This window comes from Homo sapiens, chromosome Y (genome assembly GCF_000001405.40).
Source record: "Homo sapiens chromosome Y, GRCh38.p14 Primary Assembly".
Classification (NCBI taxonomy): domain Eukaryota; kingdom Metazoa; phylum Chordata; class Mammalia; order Primates; family Hominidae; genus Homo; species Homo sapiens.
Genome location: NC_000024.10, coordinates 2,482,881 through 2,503,107, shown reverse-complemented (window position 1 = coordinate 2,503,107; position 20,227 = coordinate 2,482,881). Strand labels below are relative to the sequence as shown.

The window sequence follows — 20,227 nt, the reverse complement described above, 5'->3', positions numbered from 1 at the left end:
ACGGCGTGACATTTATTCCTTAGTTGATTTAGAGAGAGCCATCCTTTGCATTTTCGCGCCCAAGCACGTCCATGCATGACTGTAATTATCTTTAACAGCATATGTGGTTACGCGATATGGCGACATCCAGACATTCCGCTGTCGTCTGTGTTTGTCCTTGGAGGCATTATTAAGTCATTTCTTCAGCCGTAAACATCTTATGACCATGGGCCGTGACCGGCAAGGAATGTGTCTTCCTGGTTTTTAAGATGGAGTTGATGATTAAAATGGTGTCACCCCAGCTCTCCCAGGCTCCTGTCTCCCAAACACAGCGGGTGTTAGGATCTGTGTGGAGTCCCGGATGCCAGGTCTGGGGTCCCCTGGGGGACCAGGTGTGGGACTGGGAGGGTTGTGGTGGGGTGAAGGTCTGAGTGTCTGGGTGGGGGGTTCCATGAAGAATTCCAGTAGGAGTCTGCTGGGGGGTCCATGTGGGATTTCAGCCTTGGCCCTGGTAAGGGTCTGGGTGGGGGTTCTGTGCTGGTCTGGGGTTCCCTGAGGGAGCCCAGGTAACTCTGTGGTTGTCTGGGGTTCCCAACCAAGGTCTGAGTAGGGGTCTGCTGTCCCAGTAGGGATCAGGGTGGGGAGGGGGCTCGTGGTCCCTGAAGTAGTCTGGAGTTCTCTGCAGGGGCCGGGAAGGGGGTCTGTGATCCCTGCAGGGTTGTTGGGGGCAGGGAAGTGGAGGGGTAGGTTTGGTGGGTGGTGTCTGTGGCCTGGCAGGAATTGGGGTGGGGTCTGTGGTCTCAGTAGGAACTGGGGTGTGGGGTCCGTGCTTGGGGCAGGTTCTGTGGTGTCAGCAGGAACTGGGGTGTGGGGTCCGTGCTTGGGGCAGGTTCTGTGGTGTCAGTACGAATTAGGGTGTGGGGTCCATGGTCCTTACAGCTGTTCAGAGTCCTCTGTGGGAGTCCTGGTCCATAATCCTGGCATGGCTCTGGGTGGTTGTCTGGGGTTCCCTATGGGGTCCAAGTCCTTGTGGTCCCTGCTGAGGTCTGCGTGGGGTTACATGATTCTGGCTAAGATGGGGAGGGTGGTTCCCGTGGTGGTCCTGGTCCCCTGCAGGGTCTGGGTAGGGGATCTGTGATCCCATGGTGGGGGTCCTGGCTGGGGCTTGAATGGGGTTCCATGGTCTTGGCTGGAGTGTGGGGTCTTGGAGAGGCAGTCCAGCTGGGGTCTGTAGTCCTGGGGGGCGTCCTGGCAGGGGTCTGTGGTCTTGTGGGGTGCTGGCTGGGGCCTGTGGTCCGGGGGGTGGTTGTGATGGAGGTGGAGGTCCTAGAAGGGGGCCCCAGTAGGGGTCTGTGATCCTGGAGAGGGGTCCTGGTGGTGGGGGTCCCAGTGGAGGTCTGTGGTCCTGGGGGGCCCTGGGAGGATCTGTGGTACTGGGGAGTCCTGGTGGAGGTCTGTAGTCCTGGTGGGGTTCTTGGTGGGGTGTCTGGGCGTGCCCCAGTGGGGGGGCCTGTGGTCTTGGGGGTCCCAGCAGGGGTCTGGGGTCCTGGGGGGTGTTCTTGGGAGGAGTCTATGGATCTGACTTGGGTGCTGGCTGGGGTCTGTAGTCCTGGGGGCGTCCTGGCTGGGGCTGTTGGTCTTGTGGTGGTGGGGATCCCTGCTGGGGTCTGCAGTCCTGCCGGGAGGGGGAAGGGTCCCTGCTGGGGTCTGTGGTCCTGGAGGAGGTGTGGAGGGTCCCTGCTGGGGTCTGTGGTCCTGGGGGGGATTCCTGGCTGGGGTCTGTGGTCCTGGCTGGGGGTGTGTGTGGGGGGTCCCTGCTGGGGTCTGTGGTCCTGAAGGGGGGGTCCTGACTGGGGTCAGTGGTCCTGGGGGCGTCCTGGCTGGGGTCTGTGGTCCTGGGGGGGGGGGTCCTGGCTGAAGTCTATGGTCCTTGCAGGGGGGGGTTCCTGGCTGGAGTCTGTGGTCCTGGGGGGGGTGTCCTGGCTGGGGTCGGTTGTCCGCTCGGGGTCCCCAGTCCTGCAGGCGGTGCGGGATCCCAGAGGGCCCGGGCGGGGTCTGGGGTTGGGGGTTCCCCGCAGGCCGGGGCGGTTCGGGGCGGGCAGGGGGCGGTCCGGGGCGCGCGCGTTTCCGCCGTCCGTCCGGGCGGGCGGGCGCAGAGTCCCGCGGGCGGCGCGGAAGCGGCGGCGGCGCGGCCGGGGCAGCCATGTCGCCATTGTCTGCGGCGCGGGCGGCCCTGCGGGTCTACGCGGTAGGCGCCGCGGTGATCCTGGCGCAGCTGCTGCGGCGCTGCCGCGGGGGCTTCCTGGAGCCAGGTCAGCGGGGCGGGGCAGGGGTCAGGGCTCCGGGGACCCGGGTGGGCGCGGGCTGGCTCGGGGGCGGGGGCGCGGGGGCTCCGCGTGACCTTGGCGAGGCGGTGGCGCTCCCGGAAGTGGGGCTGGGCGGGGGTCGAGGTGTGGCCGGGGGTGGGGGGGGGGCGGCGTGCGCGCTGGGACCTCCCCGCCCCGCGCTTTCCGTCCCCGCCGGCTCTTCTGCGCGCCTGGCCCGGCCCGACCCGGCCCGACCCTTCCCTCCCCGCGCGTGTGGCCTCCCCGCCTGTCCCGGGTCGGGCTCCAACCAAGCAGCCCCCGTGCAGCCGCCCCCCCGCGCACCCTGACACCTCCGGGCCATGGCCGGGGACCCGGGGGCTCGCACGCCCCGCGCCCAAGACATCAGGCGGCTCTGCCTGCCGCCTGCGGTCGGCCAGTGACCGCGCGCCCCCGCCAGGCCCCGGAGGGGAGGAGCGGGCGTCCCAGGGACCTCGACCCCTACCCACCCCAGGGTAAGTGAGGATGGGCCCTTCTCCGGAGGACGTCTCCAGAGGGGGCCCAGAGGCGGCTTCTCGGGCACTGGGGAGCCACGGAGGTCTGGTGGGGAGGGCAGGCCCGTTAAGTGGCAACTTTGTTTCCTTGGCCTTTGTAAACATCTCTGAGTCACAGATCTCCAACTTTGCAGGACTCGTTCACTGTCTGAACTCATCAGTGATGACCGCCACTGTGTTTTGTGTATGCAGATAACTTCTGTTCCTAGATTTGCAGGTTCAGAATTTATTATTATTATTATTTTTTGTAATAGGAAGTAGAGATGAAGTCTTGCTCTGTTGCCGAGGCTACTCTCGAACTCCTGGGCTCAAGCAGTCCTCCTGCCTCAGCCTCCCAAAGTGCTGGCATTACAGGCACCAGCTACTGCATCCGACTAATGTTTTAAAGTTTTGTAGACGGGGTCTTGCTATGTTGCTCAGGCTGGTCTCGAACTCCTGGGCTCAAGCGATCTTCCTTCCTTTGCCTCCCAAACTGTTGGGATTACAGGTGTGAGCCACCACACCTGTCTAATGTTTTAATTTTTTTGTGTAGCAATAGGGTCTTGCTACGTTGCCCAGGCTGGTCTGAAACTCATGGGCCGAAGCAATCCTCCTACCTGGGTCCCCCAAAGTGCTGGGTTTACAGGCGTGAGCCACCACGCCTGGCTAATGTTTTAAATTTTTTGTAGAGATGGCATCTCACCATGTTGCCCAGGCTGGTCTTGAACCCCTGGCCTGCAGCAATCCTCCAGTCTGGGCCTCCCAAACTGCTGGGATTACAGACAGAGCGCCACTGTGCCCAGCCCATATTCTCAATTTAAACCTAGAAACCTGTAAACAATTATTTGTGAACTGGAATAAAGGGAATGTTAATTCCATGTTAGGTTAAATGATACTTTGTTTCAAAAATAACAGTTTTCCAAAACAGAGCGTTCAGAGGGTCAGTGTGGTGGGGGTGGGGGTGTACGTTGCCCTGAATGTCTTAAATGTCCAGCCTAAGAAGAGAGCTGTTATTTCTGCCTCTGTAGACAGTTTCATGGCATGTCAGGAGGCCTCTGGAAGACACTACTGCACGCCTCTGGGAGACTGGGAGTCAGCCAGGCGAAGCGCTTGGGTGCCTTATTGTGAAATGACTTTTGACTTCCACTCTGCACCCACTGAAGGAATCCCAGGGGTCCCAGCGCCACCCTTTGAGAAGCGTGCCTGGAGTGGATGTTTTAAAATGAGCCTCTCTCTCCCGCCTCTAGCCAGAGAAAAAGAGCTTTGAGTTTTCTGTGAGCTAAGCTTTTCTTTTTCTGCCAAACTGGCCTTCAGTATTTTTTTTTAAACCCACTTAGCATAATTACAAATGCATAGAAGAAGGAGAGTAAAGGGAACTGTAGTCAGGCTTTCGGAGGGCAGGAGAGCATGTTTGTTTGAAGTAAGTAATCAGTTGCAAGGTGAACGGTTTACAGCTGCTGAACAATTGTGTGGAGTCTCGCAGAAGATTATGTTTATCCGGGCAGTTTTGCTTACAGAAAGGTCCCCTTAAACCTCCTTAAGGGCCTGTGTGGGCCCTGGCAGAAGAGGCCGGGGTTCCTGCAGCAGCTCACCAAAATGCTGGCCTTTGAAAAACTTGCTCTTTGTGCATTAGAAAAAGGGCTGGAATCTTTTTTTTTTTTTTTTTTCCCATTTACTGATTAAACAACAACAGAAGGTTGTTAAAGAGGACGAGCTTCTGGTGAAGTCACGTGTCTGCCAAGGGAATCTGTACCCGGGTGTGTATCGAAACAGAATGGCCTTCTCTAAAGATTAACTTAAGTGGCTTGCCCTCATCGAGCCCCTTCCTATGTATGGATTAAAAATAATTTTCGATACCAGTGGAGGAATGCTGTTGTCCTTGGTCTGCTGGTGGCCAGCTTCCTAAACGGCATTTTTTATTTGCTTCTCTCTGGTAGGCCTTCGCTGTTGGTGAGGAAACATTGAACTTTGTCCAGGGCATTTGAGCTAAGCTGTTTGAATAACCAAGAGGGCCAATTTCCCCACTGCAGATTGGAAGCAAGGGCAGTTTTTTCTTAGAACTTCCAAATGGAGCGTGTTCTTCTTAGGTATCGTACAAAGGAAATGCCTGGGTTACACCTTCCACATGAGTTGACTTACATGGTATGAGAAGGAAGAAATTGTGGCTGGAATCCACTCCTAAATGGTGTCTTCTTACAGTTCATCATGGAAAAACAAGATAATTACAAATTAATCATAGATGTTGGTCATGCCTTTACAGAGGGGGTTTAGAAGCAAATTGAGAATTCCCATAAGAGGGTCTGTCTCTGTGTTCTTAAGACTATATCCATGCGGCCCATTCAGTAAGTTGTATCTGTTGGTTGGATTTTAAAATAGATGATTTAATCAGTGCATTTAATATCCTAATATGGCATCAAAACTTGAACATTGATATGGCCTGAAATCTGTTGAAAATGATCATATTGAGTAAAGAAAGTCTCTACCCACCGGTATTAATAACAGGGTGATCTGTTTAGAAATTACATTTTCTCTGATACATCAATGAGTTTTGCAAAGGAGAGAAAATTGATGGTACCTGTAGTCAAGTCCAGTTCCAATACTGCCACAGAATTTTTCTTAAAAGTTCTATTGTAAATAATAGGCCACAGAATATTCCTTCACTTTCTGGGATGCAAAATGGATTCGTAAATGCTGTACCACAGGAGTGAGTATTTACAAAAAATATGCCAACTGGCCCACTTACAAAGCTATTTATAGAAGTCCTACTTTTCAAACTATTTTTTTTTTAACCTGTAAAGGGAAAGTTAATTCTTGTTGGTTTTATGAGTAGTGAACAGTGGCTATTAGAAATCAGGTAGAAGTAAAAACAGCAGTTTTCCAACTTCTTCTTCTTTTTCTTGAGACCAAGTTTCGCTTTTGTTTCCCAGGCTGGAGTGCAATGGCGTGATCTCAGCTCACCACAACCTCTGCCTCCCGGGTTCAAGCGATTCTCCTGCCTCAGCCTCCCGAGTAGCTGGGATTACAGGCATGTGCCACCATGCCTGGCTCATTTTGTATTTTTAGTGAGATGGGGTTTCTCCATGTTGGTCAGGCTGGTCTCAAACTCCTGACCTCAGGTGATAGTCCACCTTGGCATCCCAAATTGCTGGGATTACAGGGGTGAGCCCCTGCCCCCGGCCTCCAATTCCTTGATCATAGAATCTCTTTCAAAAAAAATGAGGACCCCAGACAGTTTTTGTTTTTGTGGATTATAACAGTCAATAAGTCATCCTGTTAGACATTAAAACAGAAATTTAAAACATATTTAACAATCTATTTAAAAGTAATGGTAACAGGCCAATTACATGTTACATACAAAAATGTATGTAATATATTTATTGTTTTTATATTTTATTTTTATTAAATATATATATTTTTAGAATAATTTATACTTTTCTATAAATATAAAATACAAATAAGTTATATTTATATAATTTAGATGTAAATAAAAACAATTGATATTTTTATATAAATATATAAATGTGTACACTTATGGGGCACAGTGTGATGCTTTGCTGTATGTTTGCATTGTGGAATAATTAAACTAATATCTATCACCCGCTATTTTTCCTTTGCGGTGGGAACATTTAAAATCTCTTTTAGCTATTTTTGTTTTTTATTTCCATAGGTTATTGGGGAACAGGTGGTGTTTGATTCCATGAGTAAGTTTTTTAGTGGTGATTTGTGAGATTCTGGTGCACCCATCACCCAAGCAGTATACACTGCACGCAAGACATTTAAAATCTCTATTGGCGGGCCGGGTGCGGTGGCTCATGCCTATAATCCCAGCACTTTGGGAGGCTGAGGCGGGTGGATTGCCTGAGCTCAGGAGTTTGAGACCAGTCTGGGCAATACAGTGGAACCCCATCTCTACTAAAATACAAAAAATTAGCTGGGTGTGGCAGTGTGCGCCTGTAGTCCCAGCTACTTGGGAGGCTGAGGCAGGAGAATGGTGTGAACCTGGGAGGTGGAGGTTGCAGTCAGCCAAGATTGCGCCACTGCACTCAAGCCTGGGCAACAGGGCGAGACTCCGTCTCAAAAAAACCAAAAAAACAAAAAAACAAAAACAAAAATAAAAACCTCTTTTAGCTATTTTGAAATATGTAATACACTATTAACTATCGCCACCACGCTGTGCAGTAGGTCACTGAAACGGATTCCTCCTGTCGAACAGAAACTTGGTACCCTTTGGCCATGTGCTGTATGTTTTTTAAAAGAAAAATGATTGTCATTTCCAAAATAACAAAAACCTAGGGAGAAGAGTGGCTGAGTTTTAGGGTTTTGTCAGTCTCATCCATAAAGGGACGGATGGCGGCTGGCTCCTTCCTCTGCTTCTTCACACTGGTCTCTTGCGACGTGTCGTTCTGGTAAGAGTCATGTGAGGCACATCCACTGGCCTCTCATGGATGTGCAATTGGAAACGTGAAATCGCCGGCCCCCTGAGAGCGTTTTGGGGAGTGTCCCCCCCAAACCCCCCTCCCCCCGCACTGGGGATGCTGCACCAGTCTTGAAGAATGAGGCAGTGAGAGGCTGGTTTACAGCAACCTTTATTCGTGGCCTTGTGTGCTCGGAAGCGCTGCAAGGGAGGAGGAAGGAGGAAGGAGGGTACTCACTGCAGAAGGTCAGCTCTGCTGTGGCTGTTACGTGGGTTCAGGTGGAACCCACCTACTGTGTGGACGGTTCTTTACCTGGGAATCCCATGGAATTCTGACAGCAGGAGACGTGGGAGGGAGCTTCTTGTTTCTCCTTCCAGGAGTCACTTGGTTAGGGGTTTGGGAATTTTGGCTCTTAGTACAAAACTTCACTCCAGGTACTAGACCTGTTTCAGCCAAATGATGATCATCATAATAGAATAGAAACCTTTGTTCACCTAAATAATAACAATAATATTAATAATAATAGAATATAAACCTTTGTTCATGGTACTGGGGCGTCTTTCAGCCCAATAATAATAACAACAATAGGAATAATGATAATAATGATAAAATATAAACCTTTGCTTCACGTCCTGGAACGTCTTTCAGCCAAATAATAATAATAATATTAATGATAATAGAATATAAACCTTTGTTCAGGGTACTGTGACTTCTTTCAGCCCAGTAATAATAATAATAATAGTAATAATGATAATAATGATAGAATATAAACCTTTGCTTCATCTCCTGGAACGTCTTTCAGCCAAATAATAACAATAATAATAATAATGACAATAGAATATAAACCTTTGTTCAGGGTACTGTGACCTCTTTCAGCCCAGTAATAATAATAACAGTAGTAATAATGATAATAATGATAGAATATAAACCTTTGCTCCAGGTCCTGGGAGCTCTTTCAGCCAAATAAGAATAATAATAGAATATAAACCTTTGTTCACAGTACCAGGACCTCTTTCAGACCAACAATAATGACAGTAATAATAATTATAATGATAATAGAATATAAACTTTTCTTCTAGGTACTGGGACCTCTTTCAACCAAATAATAATAGTGGAATATAAAACTTGGCTCTAGGTACCAGAACCTTTTTTCAGCCAAATAGTAATAATAAGAATAGTATTAATAGAAAACAGACCTTTGGTCCAGGTACTGGGACACCTGTGAGCCAAATAATAATAATAATGATAATAATAGAACATAAACCTTTGACTGAAGTGCCAGAACCTTTTTCAGCTAAATAATAATAATAAAATATAAACTTTTGTTCCAGGTACCCGGACTTCTTTCAGCCTAATAATAATCATAGAATATAAACCTTTACTACAGGTCCTGGCACCTTTCTCAGCCAAATAGTAATAAAATAGAATATAAACTTTTGTTCTGTTACTGGGACCTCTTTCAGCCTAATAACAAAAGTAATAATAATAGAATAAAAACCTTTGCTCCAGGTTCTAGAACCTCTTTCAGCCTAATAATAATAATAATGATAGAATGAAAATTTTTGTTCCAGGTGTCGAGACCTCTTCCAGCCTAATAATAATAATAATGTAATAATATAAGCCTTTGCTACAGGTACCAGGACCTGTTTCAGCCAAATAATAATAACAGCAATGATAATAGAATATAAACCTTGGCCCCAGGCACTGGGACTTCTTTCAGTCAAACAATCACAATAATAATAATAATAATAGAATATGGATGTTTGCTCCAGCTTTCAGGACCTCTTTCAGACAGATAATAATAACCGAGTACAAACTTTTCTTCCAGGTATCGGGACCTCTTCCAGCCTAAAAACAATAGTAATAATAGCATATATATCTTTTTTTTTGTTTTCTTCTTTCTTTGAGACGGAGTTTTGCGCTTGTTGCCCAGGCTACAGTGCAATGGCGCCATCTCGGCTCACTGCAACCTCTGCTTCCCGGGTTCAAACGATTCTCGTGCCTCAGCCTCCCGAGTAGCTGGGACTACAGGCATGTGCCACTACCACGCCCGGCTAATTTTGTATTTTTAGTAGAGGAGGGGTTTCACCATGTTGTCCAGGGTGGTCTCAAACTCCTGACCTCAGATGATCCACCCACCTTGGCCTCCCAAAGTGCTGAGAGTACAGGCGTGAGCCGCTGTGCCTGGTGCCAGCATAAAAATCTTTGCTACAGGTACTGAGACCTTTTTCAGCCTAATAATAATAACAACCGTAACAATAATAATTAGAATATAAACCTTTGTTACTGGTACTGGGACCTCTTCCAGCCTAATCTTCATAATAATAAAAATAATAATAATAATGGAATTGAAACCTTTCCTTCAGGTTCCAGAACCGCTTTCAGCCACATAATAATAATAATAATGATAATAATAATAATAAATAGAATTTAAACTTTTGTTTGAGGACTGGGACCTCTTTCAGCCCAATAGCACAAATAATAATAATGGAATGTAAACCTTTTCCTCCCAATTACCAAAACCTGTTTCAGCCAAATAATAATATGATGATGATGATGATGGAGGATCTGATACAGCTGTGTCCTGTCACTCAGGTCGGACTTAGGAGGCCTCTTGAGATTCTTTTCCCCCTCCGTTGACTGTGTAATCCAGGGGCCCCACCCTAACTCGGCTGCAGAAGATGCAGTTTGGGGGTTCCTCGTTTTGTGGAAGTCCCGGTCATGTTATTCATTCTCTCAGCACCTTAGAACAAACCAGGGTGCTGGCATTGGCCACAGGACCCCCCTCCTTGCACCCCAGTCTTGGGAAGTGGCACTGCTGGGCTCTGGCAATGCCCAGCTCACCTGGCACGTGGCGGCGTCTCCCTAAAAAGCACTGGGCGGGCACCGTTGACGGAAAGCCAGCAACGCAGGCCGCGACTGCCCGTGAAGACGGGGGGCCTTTCTAAGACCTCCACTCATTATTTCGGGCAAAATTAACCTTCAGAATACCTTGCTTTAATAAAGTACCAGAAACCGGAGGGCTTAAAACCATAGCTTATTCTCTCCCAGTTCTGGAGGCCAGAAGTCTGTAATCAAAGTGTCTCAGGGCTGCGCTCCCTCCGGAGGCTTACGCGGAGGGTGCTTCCTGCCTCTCCCAGCTCCTGGGGGCTCCTGGCGTCCCTGGGCTTCAGGCCAGCCACATCATCACTCTAGTCTCTGCCTCTGTCTCCATGTGGCCTTCTCTGTGTCTGTGTCTCCTCTTCTGTCTTTTATAAGGACATCTGTCACTGCATTTAGGGCTCACTCAAATCCCGGATGATCTCATCTCCAGATCCTTAACTCATGAGATCTACAAAATTTCTAATAACCAAGTAAGATCTCATTCCACATCCTGGGCTTTAGGCTGTGGACAGATCTTTCTGCGGGCCACTGTTCAATCCACCATGATTTTATCCAGTTCATTGTGGAGGCTCTAGAGGAGGATCCTTCCTGCCTCTCCCAGCTCCTGGGGGCTCCAGGCGTTCTGGGTTTGTGGCCGCATCACTCCAGTCTCGGCCTCTGTCTCCATGTGGTCTTCTCCTGTGTGTCCGTGTCTCCTCATCTGTCTTCTATTAAGGACACTGGTCACTGCATTTAGGACCACCTCAATTGAGAATAATCTCATCTAAAGATCCTTACCTTCATTATTAATACATCTGCAAAGACCCTTTTTCCAAACAAGGTCCCATACACAAGTACCAGGTGGATACAGATTTTCTTTGGTAGGGGAGGACGCTTTTCAACCCACTATAGTCATCATTGAAATATGCCTCCTTGCACTGACTGTATCCCAACACTCTGAACGTGCCTGGGTGGTGCATTTTGATATTTACCCTCCTGAGCACTGTACTGGACACTTGGAGACACAATTACACCTTTTAACAAAGCCCAGCTGTCATTTTGGGCAACCCAGTCACAGAGGTGGCCTCCTGAGTGGCAGCTGGAAGGGCCTGTATGTGTGAGCATTCAACCTCAACAGGAACCCTGGGGACTGGCTTCTGGGTCATCTAAGCCTCCACACCGACTGCCTGATGTTTGCACAGGTGTGTGATATTTGCCCAGTTGGGCCTTTCTGCCCACAGGTGTGACTGGACACAATGGGCATTTTGAGAAGTTCCAGGGATTGAGAAATCCATGCTTCTTCAGACGTGCTTACAGATCACGGATGCACCTGTGACGTTCCACATGGCTTCATTTTAAACCATAAAGTTTGAGAAGAGTGTGCAGTGCCTCTTAGCCATAGGAAAGCTGGCTTTAGTCAGATGGAGGTCCTGTTTGGCTTCTTTAATGCAGTGAATGAAGCTCAGGTGGCATTCAGAGAGTCCTGCTGTGATGGTTGGCAGTGGGGGGTCTGCCTGGCCACTTGTGGATTCTTCTATGTAGGCTTCATCCCCAGAAAAGATCTACGCAGCTTTCCCACGTGGCAGGTGCTTGGGAAACTCTTAGGACAGGAACAACAAGCCCCTGCGATGACAGAGGCATTGTCAGGCTGGGCGCGGTGACTCACGCCTGTCATCCCAGCACTTTGGGAGGCCAAGGCGGGTGGATCACCTGAAGTCAGGAGTTCGAGACCAGCCTGACCAACATGGTGAAACCCTGTCTCTACTAAAAATACAAAAATTAGCCAGGCGTGATGGCAGGTGCCTGTGATCCCAGCTACTGAGGAAGCTGAGGCAGGAAGATCGCTTGAACCCGGGAGGCGGAGGTTGCAGTGAGCTGAGATCACGCCATTGCACTGCAGCCTGGGTGACAGAGCGAAACTCTGTCTCAAAAAAAAAAAAAAAAAAAAACTAAAGGCACTTGTCAGGTACAGCCCTGCAAAAATGCCGTGCTCACTCGCAAACCTGTATGTTGACACGTGCGGCATCGCTGCAGTCGGATTAACGTGGAAGAAAGAGCGTATTCCTGCGCTAGGTTCCCTCCTCCACTCTGCAAAAGTGACCCGCAAGGAAGGTCCAGCCGTCCGGCCCCAGTGCCCTTTGGTTGAAAGCGGAGCTGCCCCGGCACCCTGTCTGTCTCCCCGGCAGGGCTCCCGTGCGTGCCTGGGTCCCTTCTCATGCTGTGTTTGTCTTGGCCCTTCTCAGCAGGTCCCCACGCATGAGCAGCCGTCCAGCAGGCAGGCTCCGGTGGAGAAGCAATGGAGAATAAAAGCCTGGAGAGCTCCCAGACAGACCTGAAGCTGGTGGCCCACCCCCGCGCCAAGAGCAAGGTGTGGAAGTATTTCGGCTTCGACACCAACGCCGAGGGATGCATCCTGCAGTGGAAGAAAATCTACTGCCGCATCTGCATGGCCCAGATCGCCTACTCCGGAAACACCTCCAACCTGTCCTACCACCTGGAGAAGAACCACCCCGAGGAATTCTGCGAGTTCGTCAAGAGCAACACGGAGCAGATGCGTGAAGCCTTCGCCACCGCCTTCTCCAAGCTGAAGCCCGAGTCGTCCCAGCAGCCCGGGCAGGACGCGCTGGCCGTCAAGGCCGGCCACGGCTACGACAGCAAGAAGCAGCAGGAGCTGACGGCCGCCGTGCTGGGCCTCATCTGCGAGGGGCTGTACCCAGCCTCCATCGTGGACGAGCCCACCTTCAAGGTGCTGCTGAAGACGGCCGACCCCCGGTATGAGCTGCCCAGCCGGAAGTACATCTCTACCAAGGCCATCCCTGAGAAGTACGGGGCCGTCCGGGAGGTGATCCTGAAGGAGCTGGCCGAGGCCACCTGGTGTGGCATCTCCACCGACATGTGGAGGAGTGAGAATCAGAACCGCGCCTACGTCACGCTGGCCGCCCACTTCCTGGGCCTGGGCGCCCCCAACTGCCTGTCCATGGGCTCCCGCTGCCTGAAGACCTTCGAGGTGCCCGAAGAGAACACGGCGGAGACCATCACGCGAGTGCTCTATGAGGTCTTCATCGAGTGGGGCATCAGCGCCAAGGTCTTCGGGGCCACCACCAACTATGGCAAGGACATCGTGAAGGCGTGCTCCCTGCTGGACGTCGCAGTGCACATGCCCTGCCTGGGCCACACCTTCAATGCCGGCATCCAGCAGGCCTTCCAGCTCCCGAAGCTGGGGGCGCTGCTGTCGCGCTGCCGCAAACTGGTGGAGTACTTCCAGCAGTCTGCCGTGGCCATGTACATGCTCTATGAGAAGCAGAAGCAGCAGAACGTGGCCCACTGCATGCTGGTGAGCAACCGCGTCTCCTGGTGGGGGAGCACGCTGGCCATGCTGCAGCGCCTCAAGGAGCAGCAGTTCGTCATCGCCGGGGTCTTGGTGGAGGACAGCAACAACCACCACCTCATGCTGGAGGCCAGCGAGTGGGCCACCATCGAGGGGCTGGTGGAGCTCCTGCAGCCCTTCAAGCAGGTGGCCGAGATGCTGTCGGCCTCCAGGTACCCCACCATCAGCATGGTGAAGCCGCTGCTGCACATGCTCCTGAACACCACGCTCAACATCAAGGAGACCGACTCCAAGGAGCTCAGCATGGCCAAGGAGGTCATCGCCAAGGAGCTTTCCAAGACCTACCAGGAGACGCCCGAGATCGACATGTTTCTCAACGTGGCCACCTTCCTGGACCCCCGCTACAAGAGGCTGCCCTTCCTCTCCGCCTTCGAGCGGCAGCAGGTGGAGAATCGCGTGGTGGAAGAGGCCAAGGGCCTGCTGGACAAGGTCAAAGACGGCGGCTACCGGCCGGCTGAGGACAAGATCTTCCCGGTGCCCGAGGAGCCTCCCGTCAAGAAGCTCATGCGGACATCCACGCCGCCGCCCGCCAGCGTCATCAACAACATGCTGGCCGAGATCTTCTGCCAGACAGGCGGCGTGGAGGACCAGGAAGAGTGGCATGCCCAGGTGGTGGAGGAGCTGAGCAACTTCAAGTCCCAGAAGGTGCTTGGCCTCAACGAAGACCCCCTCAAGTGGTGGTCAGACCGCCTGGCCCTCTTCCCCCTGCTGCCCAAGGTGCTGCAGAAGTACTGGTGCGTGACGGCCACGCGCGTCGCCCCTGAGCGTCTCTTCGGATCCGCCGCCAACGTGGTCAGCGCCAAGAGGAACCGGCTGGCTCCCGCGCACGTGGACGAGCAGGTGTTTCTGTATGAGAACGCCCGGAGTGGGGCAGAGGCGGAACCCGAGGACCAGGACGAGGGGGAGTGGGGCCTGGACCAGGAGCAGGTGTTCTCCTTGGGGGATGGCGTCAGCGGCGGTTTCTTTGGCATTAGGGACAGCAGCTTCCTGTAGCGAGGAAGCGTGTTGTCTTACAAGTCATCCCCGCAGCAGCCCATTGGATGCTTTGCTGTAAATACTTACCCGGTCAGCTTGGTTTTGAACCTCAGAGACCATCCACTGTCTTTGACACCTAGAAGGTGGAAAAAGGAAAGAGATTTGAGAAGTGAGAGAGGGTCGGGGGCGGTGGCTCCTGTCTATAATCGCAGCACTTTGGGAGGCCGAGGTGGGCAGATCAGCTGAGGTCAGGAGATCGAGACCAGCCTGGCCAACATGGCGAAACCCCGTCTCTACTAAAAATACAAAAATTAGCCAGGACTGATGGCATGTGCCTGTAATCCCAGCTTCTGGAGGCTGAGGCCAGAGAATCGCTTGAACCTGGGAGGTGGAGGTTGCAGTAAGCTGAGATCGCTGCACTCCAGCCTGGGCGACAAGAGCGAGACTCTCTCAAAAAGAAAAAAGAAGACACAAGAGAGGTGGCTTTGAGTGGGTTTCCTTTCCTCCCCTATTCCCGGGGCCCGGACGACTTCTGCTTGGGAACTGCCAACGCTTCTGCTTGGGAATTGCGTGCAGCAGAGCCTAGAGGAGCTGTTCCTTCCTTCACAGATACTTAAGACCTCCACCATGTCTGATTCGAGTTCTCCCTGGGAGGGTTTAGAAGAAACGCAGGAACATTCTGGGTGGCGTCGAAGGAGCCTTTCCCGATCATCATGTGTGACTTCTGCGAGGTCCAGATCACTGAATTCATGTTTACATTCTCGTGCAAGCAGGGACCTCTTGCTTCTGAGAAATGGGGAAGAGACCTTTTAGCCAAAATGCCCTTCTTAAAAAGAGAGACCTTTTTTTTTAATGTTCGGTTAAAAATGTGACAGATGAGTACAAAAATGCAGACACTTAACAAAAAGCAAACAGAAAAAAAAGTGTGGAATGTGTTGTATTTTCGACAGGTTGCTGCCAGAGAGCCTGCTTCCTGCTGCCTGCCGAAATTTCACTTTGCGGAGTTGGTCCTTAAAACTGGGCGGTGGCCGGGCGTGGTGGCTCACGCTGAGGTCAGGAGTTCGAGACCAGCCTGGCCAACCAACATGGTGAAACCTCGTGTCTACTAAAAATACAAGAAACTAGCCAGATGCGGTGGCACCCGCCTGTAATCCCAGCTACTCGGGAGGCTGAGGCGGAAGATTCGCTTGAGCCCAGGAGGTGGAGGTTGCAGTGAGCCAAGACTACGCCACTGCACTCCAGCCTGGAGGCCAGAGTGAGACTCCGTCTCAAAACAAAACAAAAGTGGGTGGCTCACGGGTCCGGAGGTTATGTCTTCGGTGTCTCAGCCCTAAAAGTCCAGTTCCCCCGTGCGGCCAGCTTTTCCACATAAGGTGTTTTTGATTTGATTACCGGAAAGGACTCTTGATTCTTCTCTTTTAAACTGAATACCATAGGGGAAATGAATTTTAAAATATTGCCCCCGGAGGGGTTTTCCGTGGCTGGATTCCTGCGAGTTGCTTTCAGTCATTCAGGGAAACAGAAAGACGTTTTCCAACATGTAGAACTGCTTTTTAACTGGAGGAAAAATACTTCAGGAGGCTTAGCATATTGCTTGGATTCTACGTGCAGCGGGTTCTCTGCCTCCGTGAAGACAAGCTGGGCTGGGGAGAACGGTGTCTAGGAGGGATGACCCCACTCAGCTCCAGGCAGTGTTCTGCCGAGACCCCAAGAACTCGGGGTGTCAGAGGGCAAAGGAACTACCTGCCTTTCACGGCTGCTGACTTCTCAGGGCTGCAAGCAGCACAGAATGTTATCCTTACGTCCTGAGCCGGTTTAAGTCTGTGGAAAAGGAAGCACGGGAGAAATCCACGTAACCTTTGCTTTCTTTTTAAGGGAAGCGGTTCCGCCGTGAACTTGGAACCCTCAGCTCCGGGTGTTCTCGGCAGAAGGGCAGCTGGAAGGGACACAGTGGGGCAGGCTTTGGGGTTGCTCCCTGTTCTGCCCCGAGGCCGGGGACGCAGGGCAGCCCACGCCTCCGTGGGCTCCATTCTGTAGCATTGCCAGCGTTCTCTTCACGTCTCTAACAATCCTTCGCTTTTCCTCACTCACGTGGAAATGTGAACTGTCCCGGCTCTGTCTTCATTTTTATTTTTAAGCCATCGTTCCCCTCCTGAACGGTTGCCCCTTATTTAATGCTGTAAAGTTGGACTGTTGTTCAATAAACCAGAGCAATGCATTAGCTCCTCATTCATTTGTCTGCCGCGTGTCCGTCTGGACTGCAGTTTGTCTGAACCCCTTGATCCTGGGAGTGGAGGGAGGTTTATCATTATTATTATTTTTATTTTTGTTGTGGTCCTTGTTGAAAGCAACTTTTTCCAGGGCACCCACGGTCAGTTCTGTGCTCCTCTTTCTTGTCTGTAAATCCTCAAGTTATGATGTACTTTCGGGTGTTTTGGCATCAAAATTTCTGAGTGAATAAAGCCGGCAGCTGGTGAAAGTGTTCCCCGGGAGCAGAGATTTTTGCCGGTTCCTTCACTTAGTGGATAGTTGTATAAACGGAGGCCCCATGGACGAGGCAGCCTGGATGGATCCGGATGGCATCAGCGCCTTCCCTCTCCCCCCAGCCTCCTTATCACCCCTCTCTTCCTGTCTTCCTCACCTCCTCTCACATGGTCTCTTCCTTCCCTCCTCCTTCCGTCCAACCCTCCCTCTCTTCTTCAGCCAACAAATCCTTCCTTTCTTCCTTCTTTCCTTCCTTCCTTCCCTCCCATCCTTGTCTCTTCTTCTCTCCCTTCCTTCCCTCCCTTCCCTTCTTTCTTTCTCTCCCTTCCTTCCTTCTCTCCCTTCCTTCCTTCTCTCCCTTCCTTCCTTCTCTCCCTTCTCTCCCTTTTCTCCCTTCCTTCCTTCTCTCCCTTCCTTCCCTCCCTTCTCTCCCTTTTCTCCCTTCCTTCTCTCCGTTCCCTCCCTCCCCTCCCTCTCTGCCTCCCTTTCCTCCCCTCCCTCCTTCCCCCATCCCTCCCTCCCTCCTTCCCTCTCCTCCCTCCCTCCTTCCTTCCCTCTGTCCCTCCCTGTCTCCCTCCCTTCCTCCTTCCTTCCTTTCCTCCCTCCCTCTGTCCCTCCCTCCCTTTTCTCCCTCCCTCCCTTCCTCTTTCGTTTTCCTTCCATCCCTTTTTCCTTCCTCCCTCCCTCTTTTCCTCCCTCCTGAGAAAACAATGGCCCCCAAGAAACACAGGAAGGCCGGGATGTGCACCTCTGCCCAGACTTGCCCTTTCCAAGTGCTGTTGGTTGACTGCCTGTCCTTGGGCATCATTAAAATGCCGAAATTTCTCTTTCTTGCACGTTTTGGGTTGAAAGGGGTTCATTTTCAGTCCTCATAACTAAGCATTTGCATCGTGATGTTCATTTAAGTGGGACATGTTTACACGTTTTTCCCATTAGGAGTAATTCTAGTCCTTGAGGGTTTCTTACAGAGACATTTCCCTAACCCCGACGGTTCTCATCCCAGCCTGTGTGGCACTCCTTCCGCACAGTGGTGGGATTTTTCGGTTCGGTTTTGTTTTCACGCTTGCATCTGGCTGCACAGCCCTAACTCTGAGCTGGTTGTTTTTGTTTCCCCCCCACTTTGCAGAATTGCCTGCTTCGAACTGTTTTCCCAGCAGGCCTCTGAAGGGTGAGGAAAACAGCTTGGGGAAAGTGAGAAAAAGGTTTCGGATGTTTTAGTAAAGAGGCAGCTGGTGGGAAGGAGCCGGTTGGGCTGTTTCTGGGGTGCCGAAATCTCGGTGGTGACGTTCATTTGCTCGTGAGTGCAGAGGAGGCCCAGAGACCGGGTTCCTGGCGCAGCCAGCTCCTGCTTTTGTTCCGACCATCTTCCTGCGCCTTCTGCGAGTCTCAGATGTGCTTGGGCAGCAGTTCTACTGTTTTCCCCTCTGTGATCTCAGGCCCGCCGCCCCGTCCTTTCCCAGTGATTTCTGCTCCGTCAAATCGTGGGGCTCACCTGAGAGTTTTATAAAATGAACTCGCCATGCCCCTGCCTGGTGAACAGAGAATGCAAACTCTCACAGGACCGTCTGCAGCAAAACGGCAGTGTTTTGCTCATTTCTTCAGACGACGAAAACAGCAGGGTTTGGCTCGTTTCTTCCAGATTTTCTCAAACTGCATGAGTTCCTTTCTGAGCAACTTCTGGGAAGCTTTCGGGTTTCAGGGCTTTGCAGCCAGGCTCCTTCCTAGCTGCGGCTGCCTGTCCTTTTGTGTTGCAGTCAGATGCGGGAGGTCCTTGGCATGAGTACCCTGATGGTGTCAACTTTAAGGGGTCAGAGAGGAAATATTTTTGGCTCCGCGGACCATGCATTCTCTGTCTCTCAACAACTTAGTTTTGCCGTTGTGTCTAAAAGCATCCATTGCTGGGTGTGGTGGCTCACATCTGTCATCCCAGCACTTTGGGAGGCCGAGGCGGGTGGATCGCCTGAGGTCAGGAGTTCAAGACCAGCCTGGCCAACATGGTGAAACCCCATCTCTACTAAAAATACAAACATTAGCTGGGCATGGTGGTGGGCACCTGTAATCCCAGGTACTGAGGCTGAGGCAGGAGAATCGCGTGAACCAGGGAGGCGGAGGTTGTAGTGAGCTAAGATCGTGCCACTGCGCTCCATCCTGGGCGACAAGAGCGAGACTCCGTGTATTCCACTCCCACTTCGTGGGCACTAAATTTTATATAAATGTTGTGTCAAGAAATATTATTGCTCTGTTGACTTCTTTTTTTCCCCCAACCATTAAGAAATTCAGAAAAAAAATGTACGAATGTAAACACTGTTCTTGGTGAGTGGGCCTTCCAAAAATAACCGCTGGACTTTGTTGAAACTACTTTTTTTTTTTTTTTTTTTTGCCACTTTTTCCCTTTTTTTTCTCGAGGCACCAATTGGAATCCACTTATTTGTCCTGGTTTGAGAAACAGCTCAGATCGCACACTCTGGGCTCTGTGTTTCTTTAGGTAACACACGTGAGGTTTTTGTCACTGGAATTCAGTAATCTGTGTTAATATTATCACAAAAGAACCGGGGGGCATTTGTGTCTTCTCAGAATTGCTGATTAAAACAGCTGCATGGCCAGGTGCAGTGGCTCTCATGCCTGTGATCCCAGCACTTTGGGAGGCCGAGGCAGGCGGATCGCTTGAGCCCAGGAGTTTGAGACCAGCCTGGGCAACATGGCCAAACCTCATCCCTACTAAAAATACAAAAAATTAGCCAGGCATGGAGGCGCATGTCTGTAGTCAGTCCCAGCTACTCAGGAGGCGAAGGTGGGAGGATCACTTGAGCTTGGGAGTTGGAGGCTGCAGTGAGCTGTGAACATACCACTGCACTCCAGCCTGGAAAATAAAGCAAGAGATGCTGCCTCTAAAAATAATAATAATAATAATAAAAATTAGCCAAACATGGTGGCACGCATGTGTGATCACAGCTACTTGGGAGACTGAGGTGGGAGGATCGCTGGAGCCCGGAAAGTCGAGGCTGCAGTGAGCTGAGATTGCATCACTGTCGTGCAGCCTGGGCAAAAGAGTGAGACCCTGTCTCTAAATAAATAAATAAATGAGTTCACGATTAAGCAGAAGTTGTGCTTGTTCTGCCAGGATTTCAGTTGGGTTCTTTGTGCCCTAATTTACGTGAGCTAGTAGGTTGTGCGTTATCTTAGAGGGCTTGCATGAAAGAAAGAGGGTAGCCTTTCTTTTCCCTGTTTTGGTAGCATTGCTGAGGTGGCTTTTGGCTGACGGGTGGACCCGTGGGTGCAGATGTTTTG

At 51.1% G+C, this 20,227-nt stretch overlaps 2 protein-coding genes across 4 annotated transcripts in view; both read left to right on the top strand.

Moving 5' to 3' along the window:
* ZBED1 (zinc finger BED-type containing 1) lies at positions 2,132-16,673 on the top strand. Of its 3 annotated transcripts, none has more exons than NM_004729.4 (2): positions 2,132-2,291; positions 12,339-16,673. In NM_004729.4, the coding sequence occupies exon 2, from the start codon at positions 12,389-12,391 to the stop codon at positions 14,471-14,473; it is 2,085 nt and encodes a 694-aa protein (NP_004720.1). In that variant the 5' UTR covers positions 2,132-2,291; positions 12,339-12,388; the 3' UTR covers positions 14,474-16,673. The 3 variants fall into 3 exon arrangements, with proteins under 3 accessions (NP_004720.1, NP_001164607.1, NP_001164606.1); NM_001171136.2 differs by having other exon boundaries at positions 12,336-16,673; NM_001171135.2 differs by lacking the exon at positions 2,132-2,291 and adding an exon at positions 2,483-2,797 and having other exon boundaries at positions 12,336-16,673.
* DHRSX (dehydrogenase/reductase X-linked) overlaps positions 2,132-20,227 on the top strand; it is a 281,471-nt gene continuing 263,375 nt past the window's right edge. The window contains exon 1 of the mRNA NM_145177.3: positions 2,132-2,291. Coding sequence (NP_660160.2) covers positions 2,183-2,291 — 109 coding nt within the window. The 5' untranslated portion in view covers positions 2,132-2,182. The remainder of the gene's footprint in view (positions 2,292-20,227) is intronic.